This window comes from Homo sapiens, chromosome 14 (genome assembly GCF_000001405.40).
Source record: "Homo sapiens chromosome 14, GRCh38.p14 Primary Assembly".
Lineage (NCBI taxonomy): Eukaryota > Metazoa > Chordata > Mammalia > Primates > Hominidae > Homo > Homo sapiens.
Window position 1 is genome coordinate 26,830,876 of NC_000014.9, and position 20,857 is coordinate 26,851,732.

General features: G+C 35.5%; 1 long non-coding RNA gene across 2 annotated transcripts in view, besides 2 other annotated features; it reads right to left on the reverse strand.

Moving 5' to 3' along the window:
• Nucleotides 1-519: 519 nt before the first annotated feature.
• Nucleotides 520-20,857, reverse strand: part of LOC124903296 (uncharacterized) — a 41,385-nt gene continuing 21,047 nt past the window's right edge. The window contains exons 2-6 of one of the 2 annotated variants that reach the window (XR_007064092.1): nucleotides 12,291-12,391; nucleotides 11,690-11,833; nucleotides 10,992-11,228; nucleotides 7,424-7,591; nucleotides 520-669 (exon numbers count right to left, since the gene is read on the reverse strand). This is a non-coding gene — a long non-coding RNA (uncharacterized LOC124903296). The remainder of the gene's footprint in view (nucleotides 670-7,423; nucleotides 7,592-10,991; nucleotides 11,229-11,689; nucleotides 11,834-12,290; nucleotides 12,392-20,857) is intronic. The other variant, XR_007064093.1, reaches the window with a different exon arrangement.
• Nucleotides 10,537-11,736: an enhancer, noted in NCBI's record as "P300/CBP strongly-dependent group 1 enhancer chr14:27310618-27311817 (GRCh37/hg19 assembly coordinates)". NCBI's record gives its function as "activates an origin of replication core promoter dependent on BRD2, BRD4, P300/CBP, MED14 and CDK7 cofactors, with strong dependence on P300/CBP, by STARR-seq in HCT116 cells {active_cell/tissue: HCT116}" and the evidence as "EXISTENCE:reporter gene assay evidence [ECO:0000049][PMID:35650434]".
• Nucleotides 11,108-11,402: an enhancer, noted in NCBI's record as "tiled region #1279; HepG2 Activating non-DNase unmatched - State 11:FaireW". NCBI's record gives its function as "activates a minimal TATA promoter and a strong SV40 promoter by Sharpr-MPRA in HepG2 cells {active_cell/tissue: HepG2}" and the evidence as "EXISTENCE:reporter gene assay evidence [ECO:0000049][PMID:27701403]".

The window sequence follows — 20,857 nt, forward strand, 5'->3', positions numbered from 1 at the left end:
CTACAATTTGTGAAACATTGACTTCTGTTTTGGAGAGTTATTTTTCCGAGAAAAAAAGTTGCGTAGAATAGCTTGAGAGCTCAATGGACTGAATAAGCTAAATGCTCCTAGTGAGTTGAATTGGGGCGGGGGGGCTAAATCCAATGACAAGTGTCATTGGAAAAAATGTCCAAGGACAAGTGTCATCTAGAAAAGCAGAGGAATATTTGAGATGCACACGCAGAAACAGGGGAGAAGTCAATGTGAAAAAGGAGGAAGAGATTGGACTGATGCATCCTCAAGCCAACAAATGCCAAGAATTGCTAGCAGCCACCAGAAACTGAAAGAGACAAGGACACTTCCCTAGAGTGTCCCTCTTTGGAGGGACCATGACCCTGCCAAGCCCCTTGGTTTTAGATTTCTGGCCTCCAGATCTGTGATAGGATAAATTTCTGTTTTTTTAAGCCACCGAGTTTGTGGTCATTTATCATGTCAATCCTAGGAAACTAATACACTGTTGTACCAATAGATTCCCAAATCTAATGAGTTAACAAAATATATGTTTATTGCTTATTCACATCATAATCTGACGTCTTGACAGGTAGGACTCTGCTCCGTGCAGTCATTCACCGACCCAGGTTATGTCCACAAGGTGGTCCTGCCATTCTCAAGAACTGGCTTCTAACATCTCTGCAAAAGGGAAAAAAGAGAATAGATGATCATACAGATGTTTTTTTGATCATGTGAGAAAGTGGCATACATCACTTTTACTCACAGGCATACTCAGATGGCTAGGATTCAATCATAGAAACTCAAACTAATCAAACTGATGTATGAAAAAATGTACTCTTCTTGAAAGCCAAGAAAGGTGCTTTTGGTGAACACATAGCATTTTCTCTGCCAAAGTCTGTACTTCCAATATGAAATATCTACTTCACTCTTACTTCTACACACAGAAAACACTAATGACCTTTCCAATGAGGTGGAAAAAATTCATTCAGTCACTGCCTCCAACTCAAAGTCTAGAATCTTCCGACAATGTGTTGTCTTTTTCATTGGGTCAGCATCCTATAACCTGAAAAGTCTTTTTATCTGGTTCTATCCCCAAAACCCAATAGCATGACAACATTGTCATGTGAAAAGGTAAAGAATGGGCTCCATGTAACAGACACTGGTATGGAAAAATTCTAAAACTTGCTTGGTGAACATTTTAAGCACTATGTATTTTGGAAGAGGGAGAAGTTTATTGATTAGATGCTAATTCCGCTCTCTGCAAGAAACTCTCCTAGGGGGTGCCTGGCTCTGCCTTCTCTGAGGACTGCACAGGTTTTGCAGCCAGCCTCTTAGTCTGCTAATGGTTAACATTACCCCCAAATCCTCCAGTGTTTTAGACTAAGCTTATGATTTCCTTTTTTAAAAAAATAGTTTTGTCACAAACAGTATCTTCTAATCTATCTTTCTTGTCATTTACATGGCCTAGTAGCCATACCTAAGGTTCTTTCTCAGATATCGTTCACAAATATACTCTTTCTTTTAATTCCTCATTCACGTCTCTGACTCTATGCTTAATGCCAGCTCTTTTGAGGCTATCAGGAATTTTAGGAAGGATGGATCCCTGATCTGAATTTGGGCACAAAGCTGAGTCACCTTGTTCAACTGAAAAGTTTCACTGGGTCAGAGACTTTCCTCAATTTTATTTCTTACTCTTTGGGATCTAGAAGGGGTTAGCAAGGCTCAAAAATTCTGGATTCTCATCCTCATTTATTTATGCTTGTAAATTTAGCCACTTTTTTCTTAGTCTATCTCTTTCTTACAACATATTACCAAACACAACAGAAGCAACCAACCTATACATTGATGGCTTTGTTTTCTAACCTCTTCCCTTAGATCAAGTTCAGCAGGCACAGGCTATAGGTGATAGTTTACCAAATGTGTTCAATGAACACTCTGATGCCTGTCATGAGTCATGTCACAGTCAATGTAAGTTGCCCCACCTAATCAATTCAAGACCTAGCCTTCTCCCGTCTTCAGCATGTAGCTCCAGGAGAATGCAGGAGAGTAGTAGTGAGAATGCAGGATTGTGGAAGAAGCCTTCTGGCTGAGTCTGGGAATAGTATACATCAATTATACCCAAATTCTATTAGCCAGAATGCAGAGATATGAAATGTGAAAACAGGATAGGCTAGGCATTATAGTCTTCTTGTATGCCCAGGAAAATGGCATGGTTTGGGGAAGCACATAACATTGTTTCAAACCTAGGCTCCAGAAATCCCTTTTCTTTTTCTCTGTAGCTAAACAGTCTAAGGTAGTTCCAGTTCAGAGACTGGGGCTAGAAAAGAGTCATGATCAATTCATTCAGACATTCAGAGACCAGGCTGCCAGCAGCCATGTTATCTTCCAGGACACCCTAGGCTTTGATATTCAGCCAACAGATAGTAAAAGAGAAGGGAGAAGGCATGCTCATTTTTCAAATATCTGGACCATTAAATAATATACTTTGCTTCCAGCCATTTTATCCCATTAAAAACTAGTCATACAGCCCCATTTTGATGCAAATGGAACCTAGAAATGAAGTCCTGAAATGAGTGCCTGCTTCCTAGCAATTATTCCATATGATGGAAGGAGGAGTATTTGAGGAGGGACAGACAAAGGGCCAAAAGTGCCTAAACATGAGTGAAGTTTCAGGAAAGGAGAAGACAGCAAGGCTGACAGGCTTGCCCACTTTATATTTTTGGCTAGGATTTGTGATTGATTCTTACAAAAGTAATATATTTTAGTCATTATTTAAGGCTGTGATTACATGGATTAGTGACATCAATACATTTAATTTAATTATTTATTTAATTTGCTAATGTTTTTATAATCACATTGCCTCACTGTTTAGATGAATGGGTGATTTGCCTCATCAGTTAGCCATGGGTGTGCCTTCTGGTGACCTGGGTGTAAGTGCACATGGCAATAGTGTGGCCTTTTTAGACCACACAGTGAATCATTTTTTCTTTGCATTTTATTTTGTAAAATGTAAATAATGATGAGCCTCTTCTGGGACTGAGACTAAGATTCCCAGCAGCAGTAAATACCAGCAACAGTGGCAATTTCCACTTAAAAAAACCCCACAAGGTTAGCCCATGGTCTTAACTTCATTGGTAAACATAGCACCTAATGTCCAAGGCAAGCAGAAAGCTTGATGATTCATCTGCCTTAGCCACCCAACCAGCTAAATTGTATATTTTCCAAGAGTCATATCTATTTTTAAGAAATTATTTTGTATACAGTTGAAATATTGCAGAATGAAATAAAGTTGTTGTTTGAGTTGTTGGGAAGGTTTATTATAGAACATTTCCAAAAAGCATTCTGTAGAATTTGTTGAGGATAAAATGATTGTAAAGGTTTGGGAAAGTATATAAAAGTATGAAAAAATAAATCACCTAAAGGATTCTACACTTTTCTTTCTAAGTATTTTTAATTTCTTACTTCATTTTAAGGGAACATAAAATTATATTTATCAAAAATAGGGAAGAGTTGTGGGTTAAGCAGAAAAATGATGAGAAATTCCAACCAGGAGCTCTCCTCTACTGCCCATAGTAGTAGCAGACACTGTTGACGCTTCATGCTCCATCCACAGCTTTTCTGTGATCACCTGCACTTTCAGTAGACAGTGCCCAGCAGCTTTATAGCTTGCCATGCCACACACATGCATTCCTTTGACTCTGCCTGAGGATTTCTCTTAGAGATACAGAAGCTTGCTCAGTCCAGTGCCAAGGCCACCTAAAGCGCTAGGGGTTTAATGCTCCCAGGTAAAACTCTGATTCAATGAGGCATGGACATCAATGAATAAATATATAGCCAGCTTTCTATTTTTTTTTAAGGGTAGTTTTGAAATACCACACAGTTCCTCAGAGAATTTCAAATGTGATTGAATTTCAGTTTCCATAGCTAAACCTACACCTTGATGACTTTTCTCCCCTTCTCTAAATCTTCTTCCCTACTTTATTCATTGTGCTTTCTTGGAGCACTTTCAAATAAGCCACTTGTACTTTATCCTTATTTCAGTGTGTGCTTTGTGGGGAGCACAAAATAGGATACCCACCAAAGAAAAAGTTTGGCCATATATGAAAATATCTACAGATAAATCTGTTAATGTATTCATTTCTTTCTCCATGTCTGTCTGTCCTGTAAATTGTTTAAGACAATTTCTTACCTTAACTGATTTCTTAGAGTAAATGATCAACTTCTAGTGCCAATCATGTTGGATAAGGTTTTGTTCAAAGGCTTTGTGGGATTCAGATGGTCAAAATGACTAAATACTCTGGTTCTGAATTCTTATCCCAGCCCTGCTATTCTTAGGAAATATAATTTTGGACAAATTATTTATCCTTTCTGGACCCAATTTATATTTGTAAAATGGAAAATAAGTAATGATTGGCTCTAGTTATTAGTTTGTGTTATCATGAAGGTTAAATTGGCTAATGCATGCAAAAATACTAGTACTATTTAGTTTGTAAATTGCAGAGAGTAGATTGCTAGTTTTGACTTTTGAAGATGCCTTGAGCCTCCCAAAATGCATATTGACTTACATATACCAGATGGATCTTTCAGAGCCTGTGTACATGTCATAGCATTTTAGGACAGCAATCAGCTTTAAATTCTAGGGAGACATTTGATTAAAAACACCCGATGAAATGAATGTCTGTGGGCAATTAATTATATTCTCTTTTTGAAATCTAACAGGATATTGTGGGATGGCCCCTGATAGGCCTAAAATTCATTCTTCTTTCCTTTTTTTCCCCTCTTTTTTAAACCCTCTCATTCTATATTTTATTTTCTGGTCAGTGTGAGAGTCAATATATTTGACTTCCTTCTCAACTTCTAGGTTTTATAATTTACTGACATAGAATTTGATAAGTGTATTTGTTGTAGTTTTGTTTTTTAAAACTATGCATAAACAACATGAGACATTCATTTCGTTTGGCTAGTGAATCTCTGCTGTTGGTTTAAACCAAGTATAATCACCAGCACACCCAATTTAGCTCCAAGTCTCTGCAAACTTTTGGATATTGTGCTGAGCAGATTTAGTGCAAATTCTATAGCGTGCTGTTTTTTATGTCATATGAACATTTTCTATGGGATCCTCAGACTTATTTCAAAATGATGATGTCCTTGATCTCAAGGTATCTCAAATGAAGAGAACTTTTATGGATTAACATATAAAAGAATGTGGTTATATAAAGCCGAAAAAGCCACCATCTATTTTGGATGAGGCATTTATAGCTCATTTTATGCAAGCACTGATAGGAAAGTGCTAAAGTACAAGCACTAATCCAGGAGTGGTTTTGCTGCATAGTAGAAATGTGCTAGTGAGAAAAAAATTAGGGGCAGAAAGATTAGCTTGCTTTCTTTTGTATTTCTTAGTCATAGAAACCTGTATTAAGAAAACAGATTTCAGGAGCCTTTGAACAAGAAGAGAGAGGAAGAATGACATAACTGAACAAGAGAGATGGCGAGCAGAGTTTCCTGAATGCTGTGAGCAGAACAATTGGACAGATGAGGGAAGTCTGTGACAATCCAGTGGAATCACGCAGTGTGTTTAAGTAAAGCTCCCTTTGCTCAAAATAAATTTTAAAAGGAAATTAAATTCTAACCACGTCTTAGGCATAAAATGACCCTCTTTTCTTATCTAGCCTCATTCTCTGAAGGTATACAAGAATGTTTCAGGTACCTGCAAAACTGAAAGAGCCGACTATACTTTCCTTATCTATTACATGTTGATTTTTACACAAAAATAAGAAAAGAAAGCCTTCAAATTATCACAACATTTCAGTTAGTAGATTTTGATAGTCCTTGGGTGGGATATTTGGGAACAGAAAGTAGACAGTTTTTCTTCAGGACGATTACAGCCCAGAGCAGCTAAGTTCTTTTCAAAATTTCAAAATGCTGGATTGCTTTAGGTAAGTTATCTAAGCTACCAATTATGTTTTAAATGTAATAAAAGCCAATCCTTCTACTCTTGGAGGCAGAGATGCTATAGCTTGTTTAAAAGTTCTTGCCTTATTAACGAATGCTAATTATGAGTAATGGAAGTCAAATTAGTTTTCATTTCTTGAATAGCTGTACTGTATTTGCAAAGAATTTTAGAGAAATTGAATTAATTTGTTTGTTTTAATTATAATTTGTTTTCATAACAGCCAACTGACAGGTGATACTTGCACTTGCTTGAATTACATCCACAGTTAATGTTTTCATGTTTGTAGCTGTATAAATTATTTTAGCTCAATGACAATATTTAGTCATAAAATAAAACATATAAATACTTTTAAAACAGACTGAAGTTGTTTATTCCCTAAATAGATTATTACCTATTGGGCATGCACTTAACATCTGTGATATCTAATATAAAATCCAAATTACCTTGAATACTACTGCTACATTTCATAAAGAGCTTACATTTTCCTCTTGTGAATCAGATTGTCTCATTTAACAAATAAAAATAAAGAATGCCACTATATTTTCCCCTACCTCACTGTTCCTTCAATTGTTATGTTATATATATTTACTTTCAAAAGTGGTAGAACCTTAAAAAAAAAGGAAATTTACTTTTCTGGTCAACTCACCATAAAGCTACCCGGGGGTAGATATGCCTTATCCTAGATTTAAAAACAGAGTCTCTCTTTGGGAGGCCCAGGTGGGAGGATGGCTTGAGCCCAGGAGTCTGAGGTTATAATAAGCTATGATCACACCTCTGCACTCCAGCCTGGATGACAAAATTAATTAAAATAACAATAAAGAGTCTCTCATTGGATACACTATGAATGCTTATAGATCTAGTTCCAGCTCTATTCAGGTGAAATGCAGTGGGGAAAGCAGAAAGAAGTGTAATTATCATGAGGGCATATTACATGCTTAGAACTAGTAATCTGAAAGGTACTTTGCTTCTTTTTAAACTCCCCTGGAAGCAGCGTCTCATGGAAAGAAAAAATGAAACCTTAGATTATAGAAATTAGAGGGAGATACCTGGTTAGAGATTGTGGGATAAATCAACACTCATCTTCCTTGAAGTTTAAGTAGTATTTCTGGGGTGTCTAGGTGTTTTTCTCAATCAACATTTAATGTTTAACCCATTTCTATACCAAACTGGAAGATGCTTACAAAGACTCAATCTTCATCAGGGGACTCTAACTGATTTCTAATTCTAGTACTGTATAATAAAATCGCAATTCTGTCACATATTAACTATATGACCTTGGGTGGGCCTTGACTTACTAATCTATGATACTAGACTTGATTAATTTATTTTTAACTAGAGTTAACACTTCTTGCTGAATTAGAGTCTCAACATGAATGAGTTTTTCAGATGAATTACATTGACATTTATATCAACTTATCTTTGGGATCTCTTTTTGTTTTTTTCATGTCATTATTTCATCTACCCATTTTAAGATGTTACCTTGATCAGATGTGTGAATACAGAGTTGATAAAAATGTGAAATTTGCTTTTCCCACAGAGTAGATATTTGGCATGTAATAGCTCTAATAAGCACTTCTGAAAACTTTGTCCTCCTCCATCTTCTTCTTTTCCTCCTTCATCTTCTCTTGTTTGTTTAACTTCATACTCCTAAATAAGAGATTACCAGCAGGTCAGTTGATTTTATTATTTTTTGCTAAATGTTTATTTACTTATATATTTTTTGTTAGTTTTCCCTGACAAGTAGGAAAGGAGCTCAAATGGAGCTCCTGCTACAGGAGTTTTCTCTTTTGCTTATTGGATCTTTCTTTTGAAAACATTTCATTTCGATCCCTAAATACATTTCAAAATAATACTACATAAAAGAAATTGTAAACCATTAACTGGATAGGCATGTAATATATAAATTCATTACCTATAGACCTGGTATAGTGTATAATACTTTGACTCCAGATGTATACAATATTGCTTAGTAATTGGACATAAACAATTTTTGGAATACTTACAATAGCCAAATAAAAGACATTTCTTATTTCTAATATTGTTTCATTATTTTAAACAGATGGTATATGATAGCATGAAATTCTTTTTCTAGGAGTGCTACTTTCCGATCTCAAATGGCTGTTAACAAAATATTTCTTATTATTCCTTAGAAGATAGTTTTAGTCTCACTCTCCCTGAAGTTTGCTTCTGGCACCTGCAGTGAACATCAAGAATATGTGTTTTTTGAAGACAAGAAATTGATCTCATCAGTCTATGCTGTGGCTCACTGCAGGGTCCTTACTTACAGGGTTGGCTAGACACATTCCCCTATCCATGTGAACACCAGGCTTCAAGAATTCCTGTCTGAGCAGCATTTGACTTTCTCCAGAAGAAGGAGTGGATAATGTTTAAGGACAAGAATAATGGAATCATGATTAACAGTGGATTACTTTAATGAATGAAAACAAAACTTCCTGGAGAAGAGATTTTAATAATGTTTTTGTTTCTAAGTTTCTAAGGCATTTCAGAAATATTAGTGGCACAGCCACTTCCTAGTGAGAATTGTCTTCCCAATAAATGCTCTCTACCCCCTCCATAAAGGCACAGCCCACGGGTTTTATTATCAACTTAATTTCATGAAATATAACAATGTTTAAAATTGTCAAATTTTTTTGTCCACATGTTTTTCCAGGTCTATCAGAATCTTATTTCATTTGAGACAAAAATATGTCTCAAATATATGGCTGTTTCATTAGGGAAAAAAAGGCAATATATTATCATTTTTGGATTTCTTTATGATTGCAAAATTGAATAGAGAGCTGAAATTATAATCTGGGAATTCTGCCAAAATCCTATTCTTGAGACAAATATTTGGGACCTGAGTTATCCCTATTGGTTGCCTTTATTGCTCACATTCATTTCACAACTACTTTTCTGCCATATCATTTTTCTTGAATTGATGTATACTTAAAGACACTCTTATGGCAGATAAATGTTTCTTTCTTAGTAGCTAGCTTTCAGACGTAGTACTATGTGCTTACACATTCACCTAAAAGCCCATTTATGAAAATAGGCATTCATAATACATTGGACCACCAGTTTTTTTTTCTTTCTTTTTTTAATGCTACTGCATGTCAATGGGATATTTACTTTGCTGGAAAAGGTTCTTGAATACTATTGAAGTTTTATCAGTTTCTGTCTGACAAGAAATAGCTTGGGTTGCCTATGAATGGAATGGGCCAATAACCTAGATAAACATCAGATAATATGTGAGCCCTTAAGACACTTTTGAGATATGATAAAACATGTCAAGGTATGAAGGGAAACTATCTCAGTAACCTTCGAACCACAGAGTATTAGTTTTGAAAGATTAATCTTAATAGATTTTGAATCAATTTATGTCATTTGAACACACAATGAGACAGGAAGATGCTTCTCTGTTCTATTTATACTTCCTGAAGGTTAACTTTCAAAATGTGTGTGTACTTTGCATTTGGAGAGCTGTCAGATGATTTTTAAGACTAAAAAACAGATTAGATTTTGGGATTGTATTTCCTATCCCCACAGAGAGTTTACAGTTGAGCAGAAAGTTGAGTTTTATATGTAAAAGTGAAATAAATTTTACGTTTTTATTTAATAGCTTTTGGAAAGGTAAGTAACACAGATTGCATTAGCTAAGCCACAGGTAGAAAAATAATTCTTTAAAGTATTTAAATATATCTTAAAAATGCTATACTCCCACATTACATTGGGTGTACAATTTAAAATACATGATTTTTAAGTCATGAAAAATATTCTGGGGCACATATTTTTACAGAAATTCTTGAGTTCAGCTTGTATGTTTTATGCATGAACACTTGCAGTGGCAAGCCAAAATGACTTATTAGAAAGGGTGAATTTTCTGTAAGCACCTGAGCATTTGGGTGATCTATGTTTTTGGAACAGCACTAGCTTAACTAGATGTGAGAGGGTTAGATATTTTGGGAAGTAGGGTCATTAGCATAATGTGGGTTCTTCTGAAGCAGGGGGAATGTAGGTGATCTAAACGCAATCAAGGTCACGAAGCAGCAGCTGATGTTCAAGTCAGCTAACATTCTTTTTGATTTAGGCCACCTTGATAGAAGGATTTTTTTTTTTCTTTCAAAATGTGTGTAATGATGCTAAGTCCATTACCAGATTATATAAGGAAAGCGATCATTATACTAGCAAATATGCCTTTGTAGAGCCTATCCTGTGAATGTTTGTGATTTCACACATATGCAATTAAGATAGCAAATAAGCCAGTTTAAAGAAAAGGCAAATTCACTGTCACAGTATGAAGTCAATCTTTTTAGTTCCTAAAATTTCTTTCTAAGCAATGATCCTTAATGACAGTGGATAAGATGTTGTCTTTCCTAAGAGAGAAGCAGTGACAAGATGAGATGGCTATGGCATGATTTGTGATATTTTCTTTCAGGAGCTTTTATAGTTAATAAATAAACCTAATTATAACTCACCCACAAGAAATTCTGACAATATAAAGTTGACGACTGCTAAAACTCAGCAGGTTTGTAATGTTTTCCAGCAGCTATTTTGGGCTACTTTATGAAGGGTGTGAAACGAAGATCAGTCAATCAAATCAGGGTGACATTCATTTATAAGACTTGTGAGAAGACTAAAGATAAGGTTTAAAGTGCAGTTCAATTATAAAATTGATTCAGAGAAACGATGTGGGCTAGCCTATTCATTTTCACTCCTTGTCCTCTAGGTCAGACGTGGTTTGATGTGTAAGTCCAAAGCTGCAATTTGCAATTTAAAGAATTACTAATAGAAAATCACAAAGAGTGGAAAATCCCAGTTTTTCACCTCTGCCCTCTGACATCATCGTGAGAAAAACATAATTTATGCCATTACCTTAAGATAATATTGCATGATTACATCTGAGGCTCATACAAAAATTAAAGATTGATGTAGATATAATATTTGAAAGAGGGGTTCAAAAGTTCCTTGAAGCCTGTCTCAGGTTTATAAAATTTGCTTTAGAGGAAACTCAGCTGTAGGCTATTCTCTAATTTTTTTGTTTTTTTACCTGAAATAGTTTATCTGTAATTCCACACAATTTTATTTCTACACCCATATCAATTCTTTGAGCCTTTTCTCATAGATCCTCTTTCCCAATCATTTCCATTGCTCTACTCTGGGCACATTCCAAGGTTTCCACAACTCTCTTAGTAGTACAGGCACAAGCACCAATAAGGATCTTTTTAGGAGCCAAGCTGAATGGAATCCCACTTGTTTTTCCCTCTGTTGCAACAACTCTGTGGGACTGCCAAGGAGAAAATAAATATTTGTTACTTTTGGTAATGAAAAAAGTATGTGTGACTCAGCAGCACATGGGGAGCAGATGTGTTGAGTAAGAGGCCACTCCTGTGCAACAGACCTGTCACTAAGTGAGGCTATAAATAGAGAAAAATTAGGAGAGAATAAACTGCATCTCTGATTCGGCTCAATCGCGTTTAAACTAGAATTACTAAAGTTTTTGTTTCTGATGTAAGAACAATTCTGCTCTGTATAGATGTCTGGTCAACATGTGCTTAAATGAGCCAGGCAGTCCCTCCACCCCTACCACCCCACACACAGGCAGTCTGAACAATGGGAGTCCTGGGGATGTTGAAACACATAGAAGTTCAAAGAGTGGATATCTTGCTCTAGAAATTGCTGGATTGGCCTGATTATGTTGACCATCTCTACCTTTTTTGTCCTAGCAGGTGAGAGCTGAAATTTTACCTTGGACTTGCCTGGGTGTTTTTCACAGGGGAGGGTACTGAGCTCCCAGTTGGTAAAGTAAATGCTTGTAAAAGACATGTTCTACTGGATCAAAGTCAGCCCTAGAAAGTTGGCCACATCTCTTCCCAGATAAAATTGTTCAGCCTGGGGGTTGGTAAGAAAGTGGATTTGGATTAATAAATAACTCTAAGAAATCAAATGTGTAGAGTTTACTAAAGAGCTACCACTTGGACAGTAAGTATCCTTTTTGCAGGTGTGAATTTCCTAGAAATAATTCACTTGCAATTTTGCAATATGACTTTTTCAAGCTCATATTAATACTTTGATACTTACATCAGGGAAATTCAATGGAAAATATCTGCTCCTGTGTCTCATAATTTGCCAGATATATTATCTGTACATATAACGATGGACTAAAAAGAAGGCAGGGCAATTCTAATGGTTCTAGGACAAAGCCAACTATATTATCATCTCTTGAAGTCTAGAAGCCAGCCTTAGTCATCTGTGCATATGACAAAACAATATAATATTGTCTAGAATATAATCTATGCTCACTGTATATTTGTAGGATGACATAAACAATTCTCTCATAACTACCTACCATTAGAATGAGATTTTGACACTCTCTCCCAAAACCTAATTCTGGAATGTTATTGTCTCAAGACAATTCTTGGTTGCTTCCCAAGGAAGTTCTCCTTAGACCTATAACTTGAAAGGAAAAAAACTGAGAAGGATGAATATTAAAATGATATTTTGTTATGGTATCTCATAAGGTATGTTAGTTTTTTTTTTTTTTTTTTTGAGACGGAGTCTCGCTCTGTCGCCCAGGCTGGAGTGCAGTGGCGCGATCTCGGCTCACTGCAAGCTCCGCCTCCTGGGTTGACGCCATTCTCCTGCGTCAGCCTCCCGAGTAGCTGGGACTGCAGGCGCCCGACACGACGCCCAGCTAATTTTTTGTGTTTTTAGTAGAGACGGGGGTTTCACCGTGTTAGCCAGGATGGTCTGGATCTCCTGACCTCGTGATCCGCCCGCCTCGGCCTCCCAAAGTGCTGGGATTACAGGCGTGAGCCACCGCGCCCGGCCCCTCATAAGGTATGTTCTTTTACTTCAAAATAAAAAATAGTATTAAATGAAATAAATAGCTGTGGTGACTACATTGCGATGGAACATATTCACTGTCTGAAGCCAATCAGTAATGGAAACATTACTTTGATATCTATACTGCAATAAAAAATTGACAATTTTTTTCTACATACCACATACAAAATGCTGATTAACTCTCATGTTATTTAGGTAGGAGTCTCCGCTCCAAGGCAGAATTGATTAGAGTGGCATTCTTTGCTTCTGCCCTCCCCTCTCCTCCTGCTTTTTTCTTTGTTACTTGATTGCCAAGACTGCTTGTTCACTGAAAATTACACTTGTTTGAGAATGCCTTACTGATAGACATAGCAGGAACAGATAATTTGCAGAATCACTTAACTAAACTGCATTGCAAAGAAATCTAGCAGCCAACTTTTGTCAATGGCAGACACCTGAGTTATTATCCTAGGAAGAATTCTTGCTCCTCAGGCCTGTGAATGATAGGCGTTTTATAAGCTCTTTATCCAAATGCTATAAAGCTAAGGTCAATAAACCTTTGGGTGAACTACAGTCAAGAAAAATTTTATTTTCATGTACTTCATGGAAATCAAAACAAAAAAAATACTCATTCTTTATAAAAGCAAGTTTCCCTTCTTATGTTTTACTGGTTTTATAGTCCCCAATTTTTCAATCCCCTTCCAATATCTTGAGTTAACTTCCAATCTCCCAGAACCTCACTCTTCTTTCCTCTCTCTTTCCTCATTTATCATAGACACCAAACTATCCTAAATGAATATCTCTTTCTCATAATTTAATAGACAATTCCACTGGCCTTACTTACAAATACCATTTTTTCTTATTACATGGAAAAATAATAATAGGTCTCTCATTGAGTAATAATACAAAATATTTATCCATGTACAAATTACTTACATGCAGTATGGAAACACATTCCACCATAATTATTGCTTATTGACATAAAATGTCAGTTCCAAATCCAAAGTTTCACCTGCAATTTTAATGGTTGTTTTAGTTTTCTCTTAAGAATAAATACCCTGTCTCCTCACTGCTTCATTCTTAGCTCAGTTTTATTTTCAGGTGTTAATCTATTACTGAACCTTGCTGACATATTCACATGTGCTCTCTGATACCCCCATATTCTGTGGTACATAATATGTGACAACACCAGTTCCCCATCTGTCTTCTGTCTCTTCCCAAACCAAGCCTTGCTCATGTTAAAAATTCTATAACTGTCATCATCTTGGAAATGTCATGACATTCATGGATCAATAAAATCTTTTCCCAGGGAGAATGAGAAATATATGAAAAGAGCTTACTAAATACTAACAATTTCCTTTAGAGGTTCAATGAATGAGTAAGAAATCTGTGTGAGAATAATTTCAGGAAGGGGGTGTTGGATGAATGCAGAAAGGGACTGAGAAGGCGGGTTATAGGAGTGAGAATATGGGGAGAAAGGGAGTTCAATTTCAGTTGCCTGCAAGACTTCTTCATCTTAGAGATTATTTTCCTTAAGGAAGTGCACGTGAAAGGATGAAGAAAGTGCAGAGGCTCTTTCTTCATCAGGGACTGTGAAGTGCAGAGGCTCCTCAGTGGCCACCACGTCTCTGCAGTTTACTAGGCCATACCGAGATATAATGAGGTGCTTTGTATGCGCTGTGCATGAGAGAGAAAATCAGCTCACCAAATGACTTTTTTTTGTGGGTAATGACTTACAGTCAGGGGGCAGTTTTGTGAATCTGAGGGAACATAAGGATTCTGGAAGGAGTGCTATGTGTCCAGGGAATGGAATAGAAAACAAAAAAGGATTTTGATGTTCGTACTCTGAATGTCACCCTAGAGCAAATAAAGAAGGGGAAGAATTGTGTTATAAAGGCTGTGACATCAGAAGGATGAGCAAAGCAATTTTACAGTTATAGTTAGAAAATCATTAAACGCTGATGTTTAATAGGTAGCTGAAATGAAGAAGGTAAGCAGAATGTCAAGGTCCTTTTAAAGAGCTTAAAGATTACAAAACAAATAAAAGGTTCTGGCAGCTTCTCAGACACTTGCAGGCTGGAGAATTCACAGAGCAACAAGGTGTATGGGTTTTCCTCTTTTCCTTTCCTTGAACTCAAACAAAATGTGAACAAAAAGGGTGCAAGTGTGTGCAGCAACAGTGTGTCAAATGTGCCTGATGAGATCTTTTAAATTGACACATTTTCTGGACTCAAAATGAAGTATTTTAGCTTATTACTTTCTGTGAATTTCAATACAAACAATTCAGTTAGATGTGTTTTGTCGAAGAAGTAAAAAAGAGTTAAGGTCAATCAAAGTCATAAGGTAGTTCTAAAATTCAACAAGATTTTCTCCAAGAGGCTAAGTTAATATCTTTTACTTATGTGCTAAACATTATGAAATACATACTCTCCTACTTATATATTATTGATTAATGATATATAACAAATTTTTAGAGTAGGAAAGAAGTTACAAAACTAATAATCGAACTAAAATTAACTTTGATTTTCTCAGGGTAACATAAATATAGATACAAATTTTGCTTTTCTATCATATGGTAAGTGGCAGTATTTTTATTTTGGAAGAGGGTCTAAAATTTGTAAGTTTTGAAATTTATGTCAATGGAAAGGCTATATCCTATCCCTTGTTTCTTTTTTAAAAATAAAACTGTAAGAAATTATTGCTTAATTTTATTTGAAGCAATAAGTTATAAATGAGAATATGTTTATAATTTTATGTAAGACAGAGGCACTTAACTTTGTTAGGTACTTTGGCATATTTTGCCTCTTGATTAATCTGGGAACTACATTTCCAGAATCCCCTTCTGCTTATGAGTCTGGTTAAGAATTGGCAAAAAAAGGAACTTATGCAAAGTTGGGAAGGTGGAGGTTAAATGCTCTGAACGTGGGTGTGAAACTCTCCAAAGGTCATTCTGTGGTTAAATGTCCTTGCAGACAGACACAGGGGGGCCGGCTAAGTTGTAGCTTGTCTTTTCTTTCTCCTGCTAACTGAGCAGGTCTTTTCAATTATTGTCCCCATTAACTAACAGGGTGGGTCCATGGCTACTACCACATGTATAGCTGTGGACTCATGGAGGTGATAACTATACAAAATACACAAGTTCTCATAGATTTCCCCATAACCTTCCCCTTGGTGGACCCACTCATGCTTAGAAGTACTTGGCTTAGCAGACTGTTTTGTTAGTGACTCTCTGTGAACCTCTGTCTCCCATATCCAGTCTTTACTTCTCCAGGTTCTCCCACAATTGTGGATTATATATTTGAAAATAAGGTGACCAATATTTGCTTTATTTGAGTCTGAATAAACGTAGACATTTTATTAGCATGTAGATATTTTCTGTATCATTTGCCATTTTTAGTCTATATTTTAATTTCTCCATCTATCTCAAAGTACTTTGTGATTCTAAATGGCTGTACACCAAGATCTTCTTACAGATCGTTTCGTTCACCAAGTTTGTGGCTTTTACTACAATATATGTAGAACTGGATATTTAGAATATCATTAAAACAAAGTACTTTGTGATTCTAAATGGCTATACACCAAGATCTTCTTACAGATAGTTTTGTTCACCAAGTTTGTGGCTTTTACTACAATATATGTAGAATTGGATATTTAAAATATCATTCTACATGGACAAATTGTATATGATCAGAATTGCTTTGAAGTGAATTGGTGTCACCTTGTAAACCAGGTACTTGTTTTGGGTAAGTTGGAGCCTACTACTATTTTTTTTAAATGACAAATGGAGCAATTAATTAGGCAATACTGATCAAAATTCTTAAACATCTATTTGTGCACTAGAAATTCTTCCCTTTTACAAATATGCCATTTGTCTCAAAAGGGAGACATATCTGAGTCATACACAGTCATTTTACTTAAATTTTGTGAAATTTACTGTTATCTTTGTCACCTGTGCATTCCATGAACTATATAAAATCTATACCTTTCAAAGTGATAAATAGTGTGTAGGTTTTACAGTACACATGGAGCTCTAACAATACCTAAACTAGAGCATCTTTATTGACAAGAATTTGCTCTCAATCATGTAGGAAAATATACTATTGATGCAACATCACTGGGGTTCCATTTGAATCCTTGTAGTAAGTATCAATGATTTGACAACTCTAATAGAATTTCTAAGTTCAAAGTTAATGGGATTATTGTGTATGTCTGAAAGGCATTTAATAGATTTCATCGTATATCTTAACCACTCTTTTAAAGATACAAAATAGTACATTTTATCTAGCTATGATGAGACGAATGAAAATTTGCTTATTAATGGCCGTAAGTGCTTTCAAATTACTTTTCTGTGAATGACCAATGCTATGTAATTCTCTGTGGAGTTGAGCTTCTTTCCTGAGAAATGGGAGAAATAGGAGAAAGATTTGCATTATATTAATAATAAAAATAAAATTCAGATGCCAGAAGCAGACCTACATATGACCTAGATATAAAAGTTGCCAAAGACTTTTAAGCTAATTGTGATGGAAATATTAAAAATTGAGACATATATGAACAAAAATCAGTGTAAAAGATAAATAAAAATAGCAATCAATAAGATGTACAAATTAACTCATAATTTAAAAAATATTATATAGAACTGAATAACTCAAGAGATGAGTTTAATAGTCAACTGCGCAAAGCAAAAGGCAGGATGAATTAATTCAAAGATGAGTCAATAGAAAATACTGAATGCAGAGAAAACAGAATAGAAAGCAAAATAAAAAAAATAATAGCATAAGAGACACATGGGCATATTAAAAGCCTTAATATAATTATAATTGGAATTCCGGAAAGAGAGATTAGTGTCTTTCTGTGTCAGAGGCAATATTCAGAGAACAAACAATAAAGAATTTTCCAGATTTGGTGAAATATATTAACCTATTCCAAAAACTTAGCAAATCCCAGGCAGGACAAATAGAAAGAAAACCATACCAAGAGCCATCATAGTAAAATTGTTGAGAATCAAAGGCACAGAAGAAAGAAACATTCAGAAAAACAAACAAAAAAGGACACGTGGCTTTCAAAGGAACACTAGACTGATAGCTGATGTCTTAACATAAATTATTCAAATCAGAAAAAATTTAAATGATATTTCTAGAAAAAACTCTCAGCTAAGGTTTCTATCCCAAAATATGTTCCTCAATAAACACGATAAAATAAATTTTGAAACAAATAAGACAGGCAATTTATTATTAGCAGACCAACACTAATAGACACACTTTTCAAGGGAGAAATGATCTAGATGGAAATGTGGAAGTGCTGTATAAGAGAATAAAGAACACAAGGCAAGAGAAACATACAGGCAAATATTAAATTCTACAGACTACTGAAAAATAATAGTAATATCTTGTGGGTTAAATTATATGTAGAACTAAAAAGCATGATTCTAATAATATAAAAGGTAAGAAAGGTCAATATAATTTACAAGTACTGTGTTTCCAGGTAGTATCAAGAAAGTAGTAGGAATACAAATTTTATTAGATTATAATAAGTCAATGATTTATGTTGTAGTATCTAGCATATACACTATATGAATAGTAAAAAACAAAACCCAAATAATCACACTACTTGAAAGAAACAAAAGAACAAATAGAAATATTTGATCTTATCCAAAAGAAGTTAAGAAAGCAAAAGGAAACATAAAGTAGTTGAACTAAACACAAAACAAATAATTAAGTGTATAGATATAGACCAACATGTAATTATATTTTATGTAGATGGATGACATAGTCTAAATATTAAAGACTGTTCAGGTTGGATTAAAAAAAATGACTTTAGTATTCTTATAAGAGAAACATTCTTTTTTTTTTAATCAACTTTTAAGTTCCTGGGTACATGTGCAGGATGTGCAGGTTTGTTACATAGGTAAACGTGTGCCATGGTGATTTGTTGCACAGATCCACCCATTGCCTAGGTATTAAGCCCAGCTTCAGTTAGCTATTCTTCCTGATGCTCTTCCTCCCCACTTTCTGCCCAGACAGGCCCCAGTTTGTGTTGTTTCCCAACATGTGTCCATGTGTTCTTATCGTTCAGCTCCCACTTATAAGTGAGAACATGTGGTGTTTGCTTTTCAGTTCCTGCATTAGTTTGCTGAGGATAACTGCTTCCAGCTCCACCCATGTCCCTGCAAAGGACATGGTCTCATACGTTTTATGACTGTGTAGTATTCCGTATTGTATGTGTACCACATTTTCTTTATCCAGTCTACCATTGATGGGTATTTGGGTTGATTCCATGTCTTTGCTGTTGGAAATAGTGCTGCAATGAATATAACATGTGCATGTATCTTTATAATAGAATGATTTACATTCCCTTGATTATATACATAGTAATGGGATTGCTAGGTCAAATAGTATTTCTGTTTCTAGAACTTTGATCTTTGAGGAGTCAACACACTGTCTTCCATAATGGTTAAACTATTTTACATTCCTACTGACAGTGTAAAAGCATTCGTTTTTCTCTGCAACTTTGCCAGCATCTGTTATTTCTTGATTTTTTAATAGTCACCATTCTGACTGGCATGAGATGGTATCTCATTGTGGTTTTGATTTGCATTAAGATAAACATCCTTAATTTAAGAACACAGAGAAGTTAAAATAACCAAATGCAAAAAAAAAGTATCATAAAAATCCTAAACAAAATTAAGTAGGCCTAGCAATACTATCAGACAGTCTTTAAAAGCAAGAGTTGGGGCCGGGCGCGGTGGCTCACGCCTGTAATCCCAGCACTTTGGGAGGCCGAGGCGGGTGGATCATGAGGTCAGGAGATCGAGACCATCCTGGCTAACAAGGTGAAACCCCGTCTCTACTAAAAATACAAAAAATTAGCCGGGCGCGGTGGCGGGCGCCTGTAGTCCCAGCTACTCGGGAGGCTGAGGCGGGAGAATGGCGTGAACCCGGGAAGCGGAGCTTGCAGTGAGCCGAGATTGCGCCACTGCAGTCCGCAGTCCAGCCTGGGCGACAGAGCGAGACTCCGTCTCAAAAAAAAAAAAAAAAAAAAAAAAAAAAAGCAAGAGTTGGTAGAGCCGAGGAGAGATATTCATAACAATATAGGGGCTAATCCAACAAGAAAATATCACAGTCTTAAATCTGTACATTACCAAAAACATATTTTCAAAATTTACAAAACAAAAGTCGACAAAACTAAGAGGATAAATTAGCAAATCTACTATTATGTTGGGAGATGTTAACATACCTCTCTCAATGGCTAATAAGGCAAAAAATATTAAGCATATAGCATGCTGAGCAACACAATTAACAAATTTATCCTGATTGACAGACATATATAGAAAGCTGCAATGAATAATGACAGAATTCACATTTTTTTCAAACACACATGAAACATTTACCAAAATTGTCCATTTGCTGCCACAAACAAAACCTCAATGAATTTGAAAAGATTAAGATAACACAGATGATGTTATATGACCATGATCATATTACTAGAATAAATAACAAGAACACAACTAGAAAAACTCCCTGGAAATCATACAATATACTTGTAAATAATTCATGAGTCAAAGAGAACTTAAATTCAGAAATGTAAAGTATTTTGAACTGAATATGAATGATGACATAGCATCATAAAACTTATGAGATGTAGATAAAACAGAACTCAGAGGTAAATTGATAGCCTTACACCTAGGCAAGCAATAGCACTTCAAAGGTAAGGAAAGACCTAATAAACATAAGAGCAGAGGACAATAAAATATCTCATGCCCTTTCTGTTTCACTATCCACTACCTGCATCTGCCAAGAATCACTACTCTTCTAACATTATATGCTAGTTTTGTCTGTTTTTGAAATTTATAGCAAATGGGATACCATAAACTATGTGCTTATGACTTCTTTGCTCAATATTATGTTCATTAGATTCATCCATGCTTCTGTAATGCATCTGTAGCAGTATCAATATGATAAATTAAAATCATATTCTTTTCTAATGCTCATTCTTGAATTCCTAGGATGCTCTCAGTTCAGTTGTAATGTACTCTTTTGTACACTGAAAGAATCAGGTATTTTTTCAAATGTTATTTTAGTTTTGGGGGTA